Here is a 17,002-nt window from a genome sequence, read left to right on the forward strand (position 1 = left end):
GCATCAAGCTGCACCCCCAGCTCCCCACCCTCGCCCACCCCGGCTCACGCTGCACCCCCAGATCCCCACCCTCAGGTCCTGGCACCCGGAGTGCACATCTCCCCCAGCATCCCCCAGGGTCATGACTTAAATTCTAGGCAACTACATTTTTTCTCTTTTAGGAACCCAAGGGTGAGAATTTTCTAGAGTCATGGAGACACAGGAGGGACCTGGAAGCGACTGGGATGGCCCCTGTCCTGCCTCCCCTGCCTCCTGCCCAGGGCCACACTGCCCCCCAGGTGCTTCCCTGGAACGCTGGGCTCTGCAGGACACAGACATCAGCAGCTCAGGGCACAGAGGAGCCCAGGGCCAGGACCGGAAGCACCACTGCCAGCACCCAAATCTGGGAAGCGGCTCTGGTGCCCCAGGACCTGGGCCTGCAGGGCTGCAGACATCTCCCGAGCTGGCCCCAGCTCCTCTGGTATCACTAGTGTCAGGGAGGAAAGCCTGAACCAGGTGGGTGCACACCCGTCCAGGTGCACAGAGGACCTGTGGTGGTGACTGGGCTGCTGTAATTTGTGGAGCCATCCATGACGCAAAAGCCGACAGAGATGTTTGCTCAGAGCTAAATGCCAGTCCCTCCAAGACCCAGGGGAGGCTGAACTGCCGCCCTCGAGGTCCTGCCTGCACCGTCTCCCTGCCCCGGGCTCTCTAGGGGGCAGGAGCCAAGCAGAAAGCAGCTTCAGGAATAAGGACACCTCACTGCCTGCTCTTGCCCAACTCCCACCTTGTCCGGGGTGTCAGAGGGGACAGCTCAGGTATCCCTCCACAGGCCTCATGGCCTTCAGGCTCAGGGGCAGAGGAGAGAGGAGTCCCCGAGGCCCCCACAACCACACAGCCGTGACACCAGAGCTCCACGGAGGCCCAGGGATGATCTCAGAGCCATTCCCAGGCCTGGGCCTCACCCTAGAGCTCCGGGAGGGAGGCCAAGGCTGGGAGAAAGGGCAGGACCACAGGGGCTGCCAAGTGTCCTTGAGCGTGGGTCAGGAGAGGGCCTATCCTCCAAGGTCCCCTGGGGAAAGTGGAGCCTGCCTCAGGGGGCACAGCATCACCTCCTCAACCCCAAGCCTGGCTGCCTTTCTGATGGAGGAGCCAGGTGGGCTCTGGGAGGCCTAGAACCTTCTCACCCCTCCCAGCCCCAAAGGGTGCAGTTAGTTACTGCATCACAGCCCCCAGGGGACCCCTGACCGCAACCTCTCTGAGTCACACTGACCGGCAGCCTCCCAGGGGCCGAAGACCCCCACCCCATGGAGCATGGCAGACAGCCCTGGCAGGCCCAAGTGCAGACACGCAGGGAGAGGTGGCCCCACTGTCGTGGTCCCCTACAGCCACCGCCGGGGTGCACTCCCTGTTTGGCAGCCACTGTCTAGTCCCCTGCGCCTGGCCACACACAGGTGGGGAAGAAATCATGACACAGGGTGTTGACTGCGGCCTCTCCCTGCCATGTGACAGCTCCCGAGGTCCCTGCGGCACTCTCCCCAATGCATCCTGATCTCACTATATTTGCACCCCAAACCCTGGCACCCAGGCCCCACGCGGCACTCCCTGTCCTCAGCGCAGCGGTACCCCTGTCCGTGGACCCTCAGCCCATCAACCTTCACCCCGTCCTCAGCACAGCAGCACCCCTATCTCACGAAACCAAGCCCCCCACCCTGCACCCTGTTCTCAGCAAAGCAGCACCCCTGCCCCGACACCCATTCCCCCACCCTGACCCCTGAAAACGAGCCCCCGGCCCTGCACCCGCTGTCAGCACAGCAGCACCCCTGCCCTGAATCCCAGCCCCGCCACCCTGAACCCCATCCTCAGCACAGCACCATCCATGCCTTTTGACGCCCGGGCCACCCGCCCTGCCCCACCCGTCCTCAGCACAGCAGCACCCCTGTCCTCTGACACCCAGTCCCAAAACCCGCACCGGTAAGTGTTGGCCCTGAGCCTCCCATGGCCCTGAAGGCCGCATCTTCAGGTGCTCTGTCCGCAGCAGCACGTAACTCCCAGGCTGCCCGGTGGGTTGAGGCCCACGGCAGCCTCACCAAGGGCTCCACCCCAGAAACGACAGGCTTTTAGATGTTTAAAGACCAGAGTGGCAAAAATGCAGGAGAGCAAAGGAGCCTTGCCTAAGAGACAGCTCCACTCCAGCAGCAGAGCTGGAGGAGGAATGAGGGAGGTAGAGCGCAGAAGGGAACTCAGGACTGGGCCATCTGCTGCAGAAACAGCAGGCCCAGGACAGTGGCGACTTCTGGGCTCCCCGGCCCTCTGCTCATGCTTGCTCAGAAAGGGCTGTCCTGTTTACTTCGGGAGGCGGCTTTGGCGGGAGGGGCAGCCACACTGGGACCTCCGGCTGTGGCTGGGTTCTGGGCACCAAGCCCGCTGCCAGGCCGGCGCCTGCTCCCGCAGACCTGCCATGCCAATGCTCTCCAAGCTGAGGCCGGGTGGCCTGCGACGCTCAGCCCGCTGCCCATCACAAGAAGAAAAGCGCTTATCAGGGCGCTGTGCGCACGGGGCCACCTTCGCGCTGGCCCGTGCGGGCACCCTCAGCCGGCGGGACTTTCACCTTTGCCGAGCAGCGGCGGCAGCACCGGATGTCTCCTTCGCCCCTGCGCACCGGGGTCGCGCAGAAAGGACGGTGGTTCTGACCGGCGGCTCTGCGGGGCGGGGTGCGGCGCTCAGCCCGGTCGCCCCATGCCTGCCCAGGGCTTGGTGGACCCGAGGGACACTGTGGGCATGGCACCTCTGGGCAGGGACTCCTGGGCAATCTGAGCTGCTGTACGCCCTGCTCTGGTCTCTGCCCGCCAGGCGAGCGCCGTGCGCGAGAGGAGCAGGCAGGGGAAGCACGCAGGCGGCATGTAGGAGAGGAGCGCGGACTGTGCAAGGGCAGGAGCGGGGCGGGGGCCAGGCAGGGGCAGGGGCAGGGGCAGGGGCAGGAGCGGGGAGCGGGCCAGGCAGGGATAGGAGCGGGTCGCCACAGGAGCGGGGCGCGGGTAAGAGCAAAGCCGGCCGGCAGAGGTGGGAGCAGGGCGTGGTGCTGGGAAGGCCACCACTAACCTGGGTCCGCTCGCCTTTGCACGCACAGCCCCTCCTTTCACCAGGTGCACCTGCCTGCAGTCCCTGTGCTTTGCCCTTTTTGCTGCACAAAGACAGCAGGGAAGCCGTGCAGGATGCAAGATCTGAGACTGCTAGGGTTGTGACCCGAGGACTCTGAGAACACCACCCTCCCCGCCAACCGCCCATCCCTACCCCAGCTCCAGGCTCCCCCAACCAGAGCGCATCCCCAGCCATTTCTCCTGAGGCAGAGGCTCGGTGGAGCTCAGCCTCTGTGGGGCTAGAGGCCAGAGGAAGGGAAGATATGGGCAGGGAAGGGGGCAGGAGAGCCTTTGTCAGCATCCAGGGCAGTGCAGAGGGTGGGGGTCCTGGAGGCCAGGCCTGGGAAAAATGTAACCAGGTTTGGAAAAACAAGAATTAGGGAGGCGGGAGGCAGACGCGTTGGTCAACAGGCACCAGGTGGCTGAGGCAGTCCAGAGGGGTGAGGGGCAGGCCTGTCAATGTCAGGCCCCGAGCTGGTAAGTTTCAACTCCCTACTGTTCTCTGGGAGGTTTCCAGAGAAACTAACTCCAGTGAGACAAATGTAACTTTCTTTAAGACTGGGAGGATCAATTTCTACATTTATTCAAAGAAGCAGTAAACATCTACAGGAGAATTTGGCTACTTTCCACCTCATTGGGGGAGTGTGGGGGGGGGCCTTCCCTCCTCTACACAGGAAAGCACGGGGTGTGGGACTAGGAGAGCCAGCATGGAGCCCCAGAGAATCCAGTTTTCCCCCGAAGAAATGATGCCCAGCATCACATTCACCTCTAACAAGGGGAAGCCATGGACCTGTCAGGGGGGTCCTGGGGTGAGGTAGGAGGTGGGTTCTGGGCTTCTGTGGGGAAAGTCCCTTTTCTTTCCATATCCCCCAGCTGCCTCTTGAGGTCTGGCCTGCACCCAGCCACAGACAGATGGAGGAAGGGAAGCCCATGGGGCCATGGGGTGGGAGGGCCCAGGAAGCTGGGCCTGGGGTGCCCCGGGGCCAGCCCCTCCTCTTTCTCCTGCATCCTGGCTGAGCTCAGGGCTGAATCAGTGATCTGCACATCACTGCAGATCTGAAAAAGTGAAGTCACCCTGGCAGGCAGGAGGAGGAGTTGCCAAGACGGGCTGGCTCGGACTTGGCCAACCGCTATGTCCAGAGCCGGCCTGCTGAGGGGTAGGTGGTGTGGGCAGCCAGCCCACGAGAGGTACCCTAAACCACTGGACCCTCTGCTGCCTGCCACCCACCCCCGCCAGGCTTTACAGAGCTGGAGTTGTCTCCCTTGGGTGCATACAAGCCCCGTTTCTGTTGCTAGCAGCTACACAGTCTTCACACTCAGGCCTATGCCCAGGGAAGGGACATTGTAGGTAGGGAGGGGCTGAGGGGGACTTTTGGCAACAGACAAGCTCCTGTGACTGTCCCCTAGGAGAATGAAGAGAGAAGGGGGTGGGCCTGAATAGCACCCCCCCGCCCCCACCTCCCAGGAACCTCTCTGGCCACATCTTGGCTGCTGCACAGACTGGATGCCTGGCTCAGCTCTGTGACCACCTCAGGGCCCATCTGAGCCTGCACTCCTGCCTGGCATCCCAGGCACTTTTCCCTTCTCCCCATCCCCACCCTTGGAGGGCTTGAGTGGACACCTGACACCAGGGGGAGATATGGTCTTCTCCTGGGGAAAAGGTCTGGGGAGCCTCATGTGGGTGCACCCCTGTACACTTGCATACGTGCACACATGCATACACCTGTGTTCACATGTGTGGACACACATGCACACGGATGCACACCTTCCTCCACATGCACACCCAGGGACCTGACCAGAGGATCACCCAGTAGAGAACAGAGGTGAAGCCTGCGGCCTGATGGCCTCAGCAACTACAGGGAGAGGAGACAGCCCTGCCTGGGTGTGGGCTCAGGATCCAAAACATCAGGCAGCAAAAAGGAGCTCCTCACCCGCACAAGGGAAATGGGGCCACCCCGAGGTCCCACAAGGGGAGGTGGAGGCAGAGTGGGTTGCAAGGCAGGCCCTGGCCCTGGCTTCTCTCGGTTCCTCGGGTGAGGAGGGCCTGCAGGGGGCTCTGCCTCCCTTTCTTGCCTTCCCTTAGTCGACTCTCTCTGAGCCTCAGTTTCCCCAGCTGGAAACATCTCCATCTCAGAAGGAGGGGTTGTAAGAATTAAAGAGGAGAGAAACACGGAGGGTGGCTCAATAGTCAGCAGGTTTATTTCAAACCTGGGAGGGACTTTTGTCCAAGTTAAGTCAGAAGCCGCACTCCCCTACATGCTAAAAGTTTTTAAGGATTCAGGGTGGGAGAGTTTATCAGAGGCTTGCACTGCTCCTATGTCTCTTTGTTGTGCTTATCTGGAAGGGAGAATTGTGTGTCTGTTCCCATACATCTTGCTTCAGCCGCAGGCATACCTCCCCCCTCCCCCGAGTCTGCTTTAGCTTCCCTATCTTAGTGCATCTGAAGGGAAAGGACAGTGATTATTAAGGCCCACTGGTTTACCGGGGCCCATTGTATGAGGGTGAAGTTTGGTAGTTACTTGAGAGACTTTCCCCCCTCCCCCCACCTCCCTCTGTGCCCAAGCTGTCTTATCTTTTACTGCCTGCTCTTTCTGGCTGCTGCTTGTAGTTAGAAGTGAAGTGATTTCCTTGAAATGCATGGGGCTAGAAAGGGAGCTGGAACTTAAAGTGGCAGTGTTTGTCTGAGATGACGGTGCTCCTGCTCTGTCACCCCTGCCTTTTCATGCCCGGGAACCCTGCCCTGCACCACCTCTGTCCTCTGCACTGCAGCAACTCTGCCCCTGACACTCAACACCACACCCTGCACCTCATCCTCAGTGCAGCAGCACCCCTGGCCCTGACACCCAGCCCCAAAACTTGCACCCGTAAGTGTTGTCCCTGACCTCCCATGGCCCCAAAGCCACATCTTCAGGTGCCCTCCCAGACAGCGGCACAGAACTCCCAGGCTGCAGGCTGGGTCTCAGCCCACTGCAGCCCCTCCAAGGGAGCCACCCCAGAAACCACAGGCTTTTAGGTTTTTAAAGACCAGGTGGCAAAAACGCAGGAGAGCAAAGCAACCTTGCCAAAGAGAGCCTCTGCACTCCTCTGCCAGCCAAAGTGGCAGAGCTGGAGGAGGAATGAGGAAGGTAGAGCTCAAAAAGGAAACCAGGAATCGCCACACTGTCTTCCACAATGGTTGAACTAATTTACACTCCTACCAACAGTGTAAAAGCGTTCCTATTTCTCCACATCCTCAAGGATCTAGAAATAGAAATGCAATTTGACCCAGCAATCCCATTACTGGGTATATACCCAAAGGATTATCAATCATTCTACTATAAAGACACAAGCACACATATGTTTATTGCGGCACTGTTCCACAATAGCAAAGACTTGGAACCAACCCAAATGTCCATCAATGATAGACTGGATAAAGAAAACGTGGCACATATACACCATGGAATACTATGCAGCCATAAAAAAGGATGAGTTCCTGTCCTTTGCAGGGACATGGATGAAGCTGGGAAACATCATTCTCAGCAAACTAACACAGGAACAGAAAACCAAACACCACATGTTCTCACTCATAAGTGGGAGTTGAACAATGAGAATACATGGACACAGGGAGGGGAACATCACACACTGGGGCCTGTTGGGGGCTGGGGGGAGGGATAGCATTAGGAGAAATACCTAATGTTGATGACAGGTTGATGGGTGCAACAAACCACCATGGCCCATGTATACCTGTTAACCAACCTGCACATTCTGCACATGTACCCCAGAACTTAAAGCATAATAAAATAAAATTTTAAAAAAGGAAACCAGGACTGCACCATCTCCTTCAAAAACAGCAGACCCGTGCCACTCGTGGCTTCCTGGGCTCCCTGCCCCTTCGCCCACACCTGCCCCGAAAGAGCTGTCCTGTTTGCTTCAGGACACCGGCTTTGGCGCTTGGGACAACCACGCTGGGAACTCCCACTGCGCTAGGTTCTGGGCACCAGCCCCGCTGCCCGCGGGCGCCTGCTCCTGTCAGAGACCTGCCCGCCGCCCGCCACCAGTGCGCTCCCAGCCGAGGCCAGGTGGCCAGTCACACGCAGCCCGCTGCCCAGCGCAAGCAGAAAGGTGCTTCTCAAAGCCTCGGCTCCGCCGCTTGGCACTCTGGGCCACCTTTGCACTGGCCGATGCGGGCGCCTGCAGCCAGCAAGACTTACTTTTGTGAGCAGCCTCGGCGCACCGGATGTCGTCTTTGCCATCCCCAGTGGGCGCTGGGGCCGCGTCTGGAGAGACAGTGGCTCTGGCCGGCGGGGTGCGGCGCTAAGCCCGACCGCCCCATGCCTGCCCGGGTGAGGCCGACGTGGGCGTGGCACCTCGGGGCAGGGACTCCAGAGCACTCAGCGGCTGCGCGCCCTGCTCTGTCACTGTTGGGCTAGGCGGGTGCCGGCTGCTGGCGAGGAGCCGGAAGGGGCAGCGCAAGGCGGCGGGTGGGAGTGGGCACGGGCCGGGCTTAGCTAGGAGCGGGGCACGGATAGGAGCGGCGCACGCGTAGGAGCGGGGCGCGGGCAGGTACAGAACGCGGGCAGGAGCAGGACGCGGAGGGGAGCGGGGCGCGGGCTGGCAGAGGTCAGAACAGGACGCGGTAGCAGCGGGGCGCCACTAGGCAGGGATAGGAGCGTGGGGCGGTAGCTGCCAGACAGGCGGGTGCTGGAAAGGCCACCAGTATCCTGGGTCAGCGCACCTCTGCAAGCACAGCCGCTCCTTTCAAACAGGTGCGCCCTTTCCACTGCACAGCGGGCAAGGAAACCAGGTGGGGATGCAAGATCTGGTACTGCTGGGGTTGCTGGGGTTGCGACCCAGAAGACTCTGAGAACAACGCCCTCTCCCCAACCCCCCATCCCTACCCCAGCTTCAGGCTCCCCCGCAGCGCACCCCCAGCCATTTCTCAGAGGCAGAGGCACAGTGTAGCTGGGCCTCTGCATGGCCAAAGGTGGGAGGAGGGGAGGAGCTGGTTAGGGAGGGGGAAGGACAGCCTTCGTCAGCATCCAGGGCAGTGCAGAGGGTGGGGGTCCTGGAGGCCTGGCCAAGAAGAAATGTAACCAGTTGTGGAAAAACAGGAGTTAGAGAGCAGGGAGGCAAAGGCGTTGGTCAACAGACACCAGGTAGCTGAGGCACTCCGGAGGGCTGAGGGAGGGGTGAGGGGCAGGCCTCTCACTATCAGGCCCAGAGCTCTAGCTCGTAAGTTTCAGCTCCCTACTGTTCTCTGGGAGGTTTCCCAAGAAAACTCCATTGAGACAAATGTAACTTTCTTTAAGGCTGGGATGATCAATTTCTGTTTATTCAAAGCAGTAGCAAACTTTTTCTATGGGAGAATTTGGCCACTTTCAGCCTCATGGGGGGAGTGTGGAGGGGGTGGCCTTCCCCCTTCTACACAGGGGAAGTGGGATGTGGGACTGGCAGCCTAGGAGAGCCAGCAGCAGAGAGGAACTGGAGCCCCAAAGAATCCAATTTTCCCCCAAATAAATGATGCCCAGGATCACATTCACCTCTAATAATGGGAAGCCACTGGACCTGTGCTGGGGGATCCTGGGGTGAGCCTACGACCTGGGGCTTATACCCAGTGCCTAGGACCCGGGGCTCACACCCAGAGCCTAGGACTTGGGGCTTACACCCACAGCCTAGGACCCGGGGCTTACACCCAGAGCCTAGGACTTGGGGCTTATACCCAGAGCCTAGGAAACAAAGCTTATACCCAGAGCCTAGGACCCGGGGCTTATACCCAGAGCCTAGGACTTGGGGCTTATACACAGAGCCAAGGACTTGGGGCTTATACACAGAGCCAAGGACGTGGGGCTTATACCCAGAGCCTAGGAAACAAAGCTTATACCCAGAGCCTGGGATATGGAGCTTATACCCAAAGACTAAATCACAAGGCTTATACCCAGAGCCGAGGACACAAGGCTTATATCCAGAGTTTAGGACCCGGGTCTTATACACTGAGCCTAGGACACTGGGCTTGTACTCAGAGCCTAGGACATGGAGCTTATACCCAGAGCCTAGGAAACACAAGTCTTATACCCAGAAAAAACGTGGGGCTTATACCCAGAGCCTAGGACCCGGGGCTTATACACTACTTATACTCTACTTTTAGTAGAGACGGAGTTTCACCATGTTGGCCAGGCTGGTCTCAAACTCCTGACCTCAGGTGATCCACCCGCCTCAGCCTCCCAAAATGCTGGGATTACAGGCATGAGCCATTGTACCCAGCCATACAGTACAGAAGCAAGTTTAAAAATAAAATATTTATTTGAATAACAAGCTTACACTGGAGCTGCAATGTTGGCAATGCAGATTTTGAACACGGATCACAAAAAGCATGCATAAAATCCTACTGGCCCAGAGAACAAACCACTGCTCAGAATTAGGCTAAATAGCTGCTGCTTTTAAGAAAATAAAAGGCCTGAAATCAATATACAACATTTTTTAAAATGTATTGGCCGGGCGGGTGCCTGTAATTCCAGCACTTTGGGAGGCCAAAATAGGAGGATCACCTGAGGTCAGGAGTTCAAGACCAGCCTGGCCAACATGGTGAAACTCCGTCTCTACTAAAAATAAAAAATTAGCTGGGTGTGGTGACACACGCCTGTAGTCCCAGCTACCTGGGAGGCTGAGGCAGAAAAATTGCTTGAACCTGGGAGGAGGAGATGGCAGTGAGCCATGATCATGCTATTGCACTCCAGCCTGGGCAACGGGTAAGACTCCATCTCAGGGAAAAAAAAAAAAAAAAAAGGTATTAAACACTACCATATACAGAACAATCTTTGTTACTGACTATATTTAAAAATTATTTGCATAGTTATTACATATTGCAAATGAGCATAATACATGAACTTTCTTTTGGAAGGCAATTCCTTTTTACATACAATAAGAAACATCTAATTTCAGCTGGGCGCGGTGGCTGATGCCTATAATTCCAGCAGTTTGTGGGGCCAACATAGGCACATCATCTGAGGTCAGGAGTTGGAGAGCAGCCTGCCGAACATGGCGAAAACCTGTCTCTACTAAAAATACAAAAATTAGCCAGGCATGGTGGCGGGCGCCTGTAGTCCCAGCTCCTTAGGGAGGCTGAGGCAGGAGAATCGCTTGAACCCGGGAGGCAGAGGTTGCAGTGAGCTGAGATTCTGCCACTGCACTCTGGCCTGGGCAACAAGAGCAAAACTTGGCCTAAAAAAAAAAAACCCTAATTACATCACATTGCAAATATCTCATTTTTCCTGTCAATAAACAGTTAATAGTATTACTGTAAATATCAGGAAGGCTACAAAAATATAAGATTTCTTTTGGTCTTCACAGTGTTTTTTATGCAGTGAAGCACTTACTGTATTGAACAGAATGCAGTACTAGAAAATGTCCTGGGTGTGAGATGCTCGAGTGCCAAAACTAGGCTTTTCTTTTCTTTTTTTTTTGAGATGGAGTCTCACTCTCTCACCAGGCTGGGGTGCAGTGGTGCAATCTCGGCTCACTGCAACCTCTGCCCCCCGGGTTCAAGTGATTCTCCTGCCCCAGCCTCCCAAGTCAGTGGGACTACAGGCGCCCGCCACCATACCCGGCTAATTTTTTTGTATTTTTAGTAGAGACGGGGTTTCACCATGTTGGCCAGGATGGTCTCAATCTCTTGACCTCGTGATCCACCCACCTGGGGCTCCTAAAGTGCTGGGATTATAGGCTTGAGCCACCGAGCCCGGTCCAAGACCAGGCTTTTCAAATCAAAGATAAAAGAATCATGCAACCCTCTTACAACTGGGATACCATCCTGTGTCACTTGCCAATACTGTCTTTCCAGAAAACCATTCAAGACACTAAAAAAAGATCAGACTTATATGATAAACACACATAGAATGAAAAGACACCAACTGCTATTTGACACTACTATTGGTAATGTCTGTCATATGTGAAAGTACTTTTTATTTTATTATTTGAGACTGAGTTTTGCTCTTGTTGCCCAGGCTGGAGTGCAATGGCACGATCTCTGCTCACCGCAACCTCCGCCTCCCGGGTTCAAGTGATTGTCCTACCTCAGCCTCCCGAGTAGCTGGGATTATAGGCATGTGCCACCACGCCTGGCTACTTTTCTGTATTTTTAGTAGAGATAGAGTTTCACCATGTTGGTCAGGCTGGTCTCGAAATCAGAACCTCCGGTGATCTGCCTGCCTCGGCCTCCCATAGTGCTGGGATCACAGGCATGAGCCACTGTGCCTGCCTGTGAAAGCACTTTTAAAAAGAGAGCACGTCTGCTGCCTGGTCACATTCTGTACCTGTTCCCAAACCCCGAAGCCAGTGATGTCAGTGGCTGCATGGGCATTGAACGTGTACATTATTCCTGCAGCTTTCCTGTTGACCTGGACCATGTTCATCAATGTTTTTCAATACATTAATTCTACATCTTCTTGGATGACCACTAGTTTTATTTCATTTTTCAGAAATATCCAGCCACTGGTGCACAGCCATTGCCACTTGTGCCCCCAGGGGATCTTGTCAACTCCAGTATGTCCCCCCAGCACTGTGTTATCTGGCATAATAAATGTAGTTGGGCTGTAGTTGTAGTGACTCCTCCCAAAACAACCCAGGAGTTTAATACTGTTTGGCCACCGGTTACAGACACTGCTCCTCCTTCCGCTGCGGCTTTAAAAGCCTATCTAATCGGCTGGGTGTGATGGTGGCTCAGACCTATAATCCCAGCACTTTGGGAGTCCGAGGTGGGTGGATCACCTGAGGTCAGGAGTTTGAGACCGGCCTGGCCAACATGGTGAAACCCCATCTCTACTAAAAATACAGCAAATTAGCTGGGCGTGGCGGCGCATGACTGTAATCCCAGCTACTCGGGAGGCTGAGGTAGGAGAATTGCTTGGGTGGCAGAGTAAGACTCTGTCTCAAAAAAAAAAAATAAAATGTTATCTCATCAGGGACAACACCTTTCCCTGCCAGTCATTTTGTTACCAATGAAAGAAAACATATTCAAATCAATTTTTAGTTCAGAAAATGTTTTACTGTATCTTTTAACTTTTTTATTGTTCTGCATTTTTTACGTTAAAAACACCTACCATATATATTTTTTTCTGTTTTGTTTCCTTTTTTTTTTTTTTCAAGAAATGTTTTTGTTACTTTCCTTTTTAATTTTTTCACTGACCATTACCATTATTTATATACCATGTACCTAGAGAGTTTCCAACGTTCCTCTTGTTATTGGCTTTTAATTTTATGCCATTTTGGTCTGAGAAGATACTTGCTATGATTTTCATTTTTTAAATGCTTTTTTGAGATTTGTTTTGTGGCCTAAAATGTGGTCTATCCTGGAGAACGTTTTGTGAGCTGATGAGAAGAATGCAGTTCTGCAGTTGGTGGGTGAAATGTTCTGTAATTACCTGTGAGGTCCCTTTGACTTCTCTTGGAGTCAGTCTGGTCTTTGTTACTTTTCTGCCTAGAGGGTGTGTCTGTTGCTGAAAGTGGGTTTTGGAGTCCCCAGCTATTATTGTCTGTCTCTGTCTGTTGCTCGAATAACTCTTACTTTAATAACTGGGGCTCCTGTGTCAGGTGTGTTTACATTGACAACTGTCCTACCTTCTTGCTGAATTGATCCCTTTATCATTTTATAATGACCTTTATTTTCTATTTTTGTGCTTTTTTGACTTAAAGCCTACTTTGTGTGACAAGCATAGCTGCACATACTCACTTTTGGTAACACCTTTCATTTCTTATCATCTTCATTGAATCTCACTCTTCACATTTACCAAAATGTCTACTTTTGAGCCGCGGCAATTCTTTGAATCTTCAGATCCACCACATGCTGATCAAGCCTTCCTTTTTGTCTGTACTCTGAGGAATCCCGAACAGGCATTTTTGCAAGAAAGTCTAGGAGGGAAACATAAATCTATGTGTCAGAAGAATTAACATAGAAAATAGTGTGTCCCGGTTAACAAAAGTTCTCATTGTAAAGTGTTATGCACAAGACTATGAAATTTCATGTGCCATAAATAAAATTGTCTTGATTTGTCTAAAACTACGTTTTGTCTAAAACTACTTTTAAAAATTACATGTTACTCTAATAAATGTATTTTTGGCTGGGCGCAGTGGCTTACGCCTGTAATCCCAGCACTTTGGGAGGCCGAGGCAGGTGGATCACGAGGTCAGGAGATCGAGACCATCCTGGCTAACACAGTGAAACCCTGCCTCTACTAAAAATACAAAAAAAAATTAGCCGGGCTTGGTGGCGGGTGCCTGTAGTCCCAGCTACTCAGGAGGCTGAGGCAGGAGAATGGCGTGGACCTGGGAGGTGGAGGTTGCAGTGAGCCGAGACTGCGCCACTGCACTCCAGCCTGGGCGACAGAGCAAGACTCTGTCTCAAAAACAACAACAACAAAAAAAAAACAAATATTTTTTCCAACTATATTCTTTCTTTTTTTCAAGATTATTTTGCCTATATTGGGTTCGTTGTATTTCTACTGGGTCCACTTGTCTACAAAAAAGTCTTTTGACAGGGATTGTGTGGAATCTACAGATTAATTTGGGAAACACTGACATATTAACGTTAAGTCTTTCAATCCATGCATGCAAAATGTCTTTCTTTTTATTTAGGTCTTCTTTAGTTTCTTTGAAAAATGTTTTCTAGGCTGGGCGCGGTGGCTCACGCCTATAATCCCAGCACTTTGGGAGGCCGAGGCGGGCAGATCACGAGGTCAGGAGTTCAAGAACAGCCTGGCCAACATGGTGAAACCCCGTCTCCACTAAAAATACAAAAATTAGCTGGGCATGGTGGTGTGCACCTGTAATCTCACCTACTGGGGAGGCTGAGGCAGGAGAATGGCTTGAACCCAGGAAGCAGAGGTTGCAGTGAGCCGAGATTATGTCACTGCACTCCAGCCTGGGTGACAAGCAAGACTTCATCTCAAAAAAAAAAAAAAAAAAAGAAAAAGAAAAATGTTTTCTAGTTTTCAGTGCACAAGTTTTACACTTCTTTTGTTAAATTTATTCCTAAGCATTTTATTATTTTTGATGCTATTGTAAATGGAATGTGTTAATCTATTCTTGCATTACTATAAATAAATACCTGAGACTGAGTAATTTATAAAGACAAGAGGTTTAATTGGCTCATGGTTCTGCAGTCTGTACAAGCAGCACAGCAGCTTCTGCTTCTGGGAAGGCCTCAGGAAGCTTCCAATCATGGCAGAAGGCAAAGGAGAAGTGAGGTATCTCACATGGTGAAAGCAGAAGGAAGAGGGGGTGGGGGTGGGGGTGCCATATACTTTTGTTTGTTTGAGACGGAGTCTCACTCTGTCACTCTGGCTGGAGTATAGTGGCATGATCTTGGCTCACTGCAACCTCTGCCTGCCAGGTTCAAGTGATTCTCCCACCACAGCCTCCCGAGTAGATGAGATTATAAGCACATGCCACCATGCTCGGCTAATTTTTGTATTTTTAGTAGAGACAGGGTTTCACCATGTTGGCCAGGCTGGTTTTGAACTCCAGACCTCAAGTGATCCACCCACCTCGGCCTCCCAGAGTGCTGGGATTACAAATGTGAGCCACCGCACCCAGTCTATATCATTTTTTTTTTTTTTTTTTTTGAGATGGAGTCTCACTCTGTCACCCAGGCTGGAGTGCGGTGGTGTGATCTTGGCTCACTGCACCCTCCACCTCCCGGGTTCAAGCAACTCTCGTGCCTCAGCCTCCCAAGTAGCTGTGACTACAGGTGAGCGCCACCATGTCCAGCTGATTTTTTGTATTTTAGTAGAGATGGGGTTTCACTGTGTTGCCCAGGCTGGTCTCGAACTCCTGAGCTCAGAAAATCCACCTGCCTCAGCCTCCCAAAGTGCTCACAGGCATGAGCCGCTGCACCTGGCTGGGGCCTATGTACTTTTAAACAACCAGATCTCATGAGATCTCCCTCACTATCATGAGAATGGCACCACGGGAATGGTGCTAAACCATTCGTGAGAAACCGCCTCCATGGTCCAATCACCCCCCACCATGCCCGACCTCAAACAGAGAAACCGCCTCCAGGGTCCAATCACCTCCCACCATGCCCGACCTCAAACAGAGAAACCGCCTCCATGGTCCAGTCACCTCCCACCATGCCCGACCTCAAACAGAGAAACCGCCTCCATGATCCAATCACCTCCCTCCATGCCCGACCTCAAACAGAGAAACCGCCTCCAGGGTCCAATCACCCCCCACCATGCCCGACCTCAAACAGAGAAACCGCCTCCATGGTCCAATCACCTCCCACCATGCCCGACCTCAAACAGAGAAACCGCCTCCATGGTCCAATCATCCCCCACCATGCCCGACCTCAAACAGAGAAACCGCCTCCAGGGTCCAATCACCCCCCACCATGCCCGACCTCAAACAGAGAAACCGCCTCCAGGGTCCAATCACCCCCCACCATGCCCAACCTCAAACAGAGAAACCGCCTCCATGGTCCAATCACCCCCCACCATGCCCGACCTCAAACAGAGAAACCGCCTCCATGGTCCAATCACCTCCCACCATGCCCGACCTCAAACAGAGAAACCGCCTCCATGATCCAATCACCTCCCACCATGCCCGACCTCAAACAGAGAAACCGCCTCCAGGGTCCAATCACCCCCCACCATGCCCGACCTCAAACATTGAGGATTACAATTTGACAGTCCCCAATGTCAGGTCCTTTCCACATTTCATGCCTTCCCAACAGTCCCCTAAAGTCTTAACTCATTCCAGCATTAACTCAAAAGTCCAAAGTCCAAAGTCTCATCTGAGACAAGGCTAGTTCCTTCCACCTATAGGTCTGTAAAATCAAAAACAAGTTAGTTACTTCCAAGATACAATTGAGGTATAGGAATTAGGTAAATATTCCCATTCCAAAAGGGAGAAATTGACCAAAACAAAGGGGCTACAGGCCCCATGCAAGTCTGAAACCCAGCAGGGCAGTCATTAAATCCTAAAACTCCAAAATAATCTCCTTTGACTCCATGTCCCACATCCAGGGCAACTGATGGAAGGGGTGGACTCCCAAGGCCTTGGGCAACTCTGCCCCTGTGGCTTTGCAAGGCTCAGCCCCCGACACCACTCTCAAGGGCTGGTTTTGAGTACCTGAAGCTTTTCCAGGCACAGAGTGCAAGCTGCTGGTGGATCTACCATTCTGGGGTCTGGAAGATGGTGGATCTCTTCTCACAGCTCCACTAGGAAGTGTTCCAATGGGGACTCTGCATGGGAAATCCAACCCCACATTTCCCCTCCTCACTGCCCTGGTAGAGGTTCTCCATGCTGCTGCATGGGGCAGAGCCTTCATGGAGGACCTCTACTAGGGCAGTGAGGCTTCTGCTTAGACATTCAGGCTTTGCTATACATCCTCTGAAATATAGGCAGAGGCTCCAAAGCCTCAACTCTTGCACTCTGTGAACTCACAGGCATATTACCACATGGAAGCCACCAAGGCTTATGGCTTGCACCCTCTGAAGCAGTGGCCTAAGCTGTACCTGGGCCTGTTTGAGCCATGGCTAGGCTGGGATGCAGGGAGCAGTGTCCTGAGGCTGCACAGGACAGCAGGAGCCCTAGGTCTGGCCCAGAAAACCATTCTTCCCTTCTAGGCCTCTGAGTCTGTGATGGGAGGGGCCGTGGTGAAGGTCTCTGAAATGTCTTCTAGGCTTTTCCCCCATTGTCTTGGCTATTAGCACTTGGCACCTTTTTACATATGCAAATTTCTGCAGCCTGCTTGAATTCATCCCCTGAAAAGGGCCTTTTCTTTCCAGGCTGCAAAATTTCCAAACTTTTACACTCTGCTTCCCCTTTAAATATAAGTTCCAACTTTAGGTCATTTCTTTGCTCATGCATATGAGTGTAGGTTGTTAGAAGCAACTAGGTCACATCTTGAA

General features: G+C 53.4%; 1 pseudogene across 1 annotated transcript in view, besides 2 other annotated features; it reads right to left on the reverse strand.

Moving 5' to 3' along the window:
• Positions 1-7,369, reverse strand: part of CEP192P1 (CEP192 pseudogene 1) — a 56,211-nt pseudogene extending 48,842 nt beyond the window's left edge. The window contains exon 1 of the transcript NR_036494.1: positions 7,310-7,369. The product of NR_036494.1 is annotated as a CEP192 pseudogene 1 (transcript). The remainder of the gene's footprint in view (positions 1-7,309) is intronic.
• Positions 2,632-3,322: an enhancer, noted in NCBI's record as "H3K27ac-H3K4me1 hESC enhancer chr5:175621561-175622251 (GRCh37/hg19 assembly coordinates)". NCBI's record gives its function as "activates a minimal SCP1, AML or CMV promoter by ChIP-STARR-seq in primed H9 embryonic stem cells {active_cell/tissue: H9 hESC(primed)}" and the evidence as "EXISTENCE:reporter gene assay evidence [ECO:0000049][PMID:30033119]".
• Positions 5,454-5,955: an enhancer, noted in NCBI's record as "H3K4me1 hESC enhancer chr5:175624383-175624884 (GRCh37/hg19 assembly coordinates)". NCBI's record gives its function as "activates a minimal SCP1, AML or CMV promoter by ChIP-STARR-seq in primed H9 embryonic stem cells {active_cell/tissue: H9 hESC(primed)}" and the evidence as "EXISTENCE:reporter gene assay evidence [ECO:0000049][PMID:30033119]".
• Positions 7,370-17,002: the final 9,633 nt, after the last annotated feature.

This window comes from Homo sapiens, chromosome 5 (genome assembly GCF_000001405.40).
Source record: "Homo sapiens chromosome 5, GRCh38.p14 Primary Assembly".
Lineage (NCBI taxonomy): Eukaryota > Metazoa > Chordata > Mammalia > Primates > Hominidae > Homo > Homo sapiens.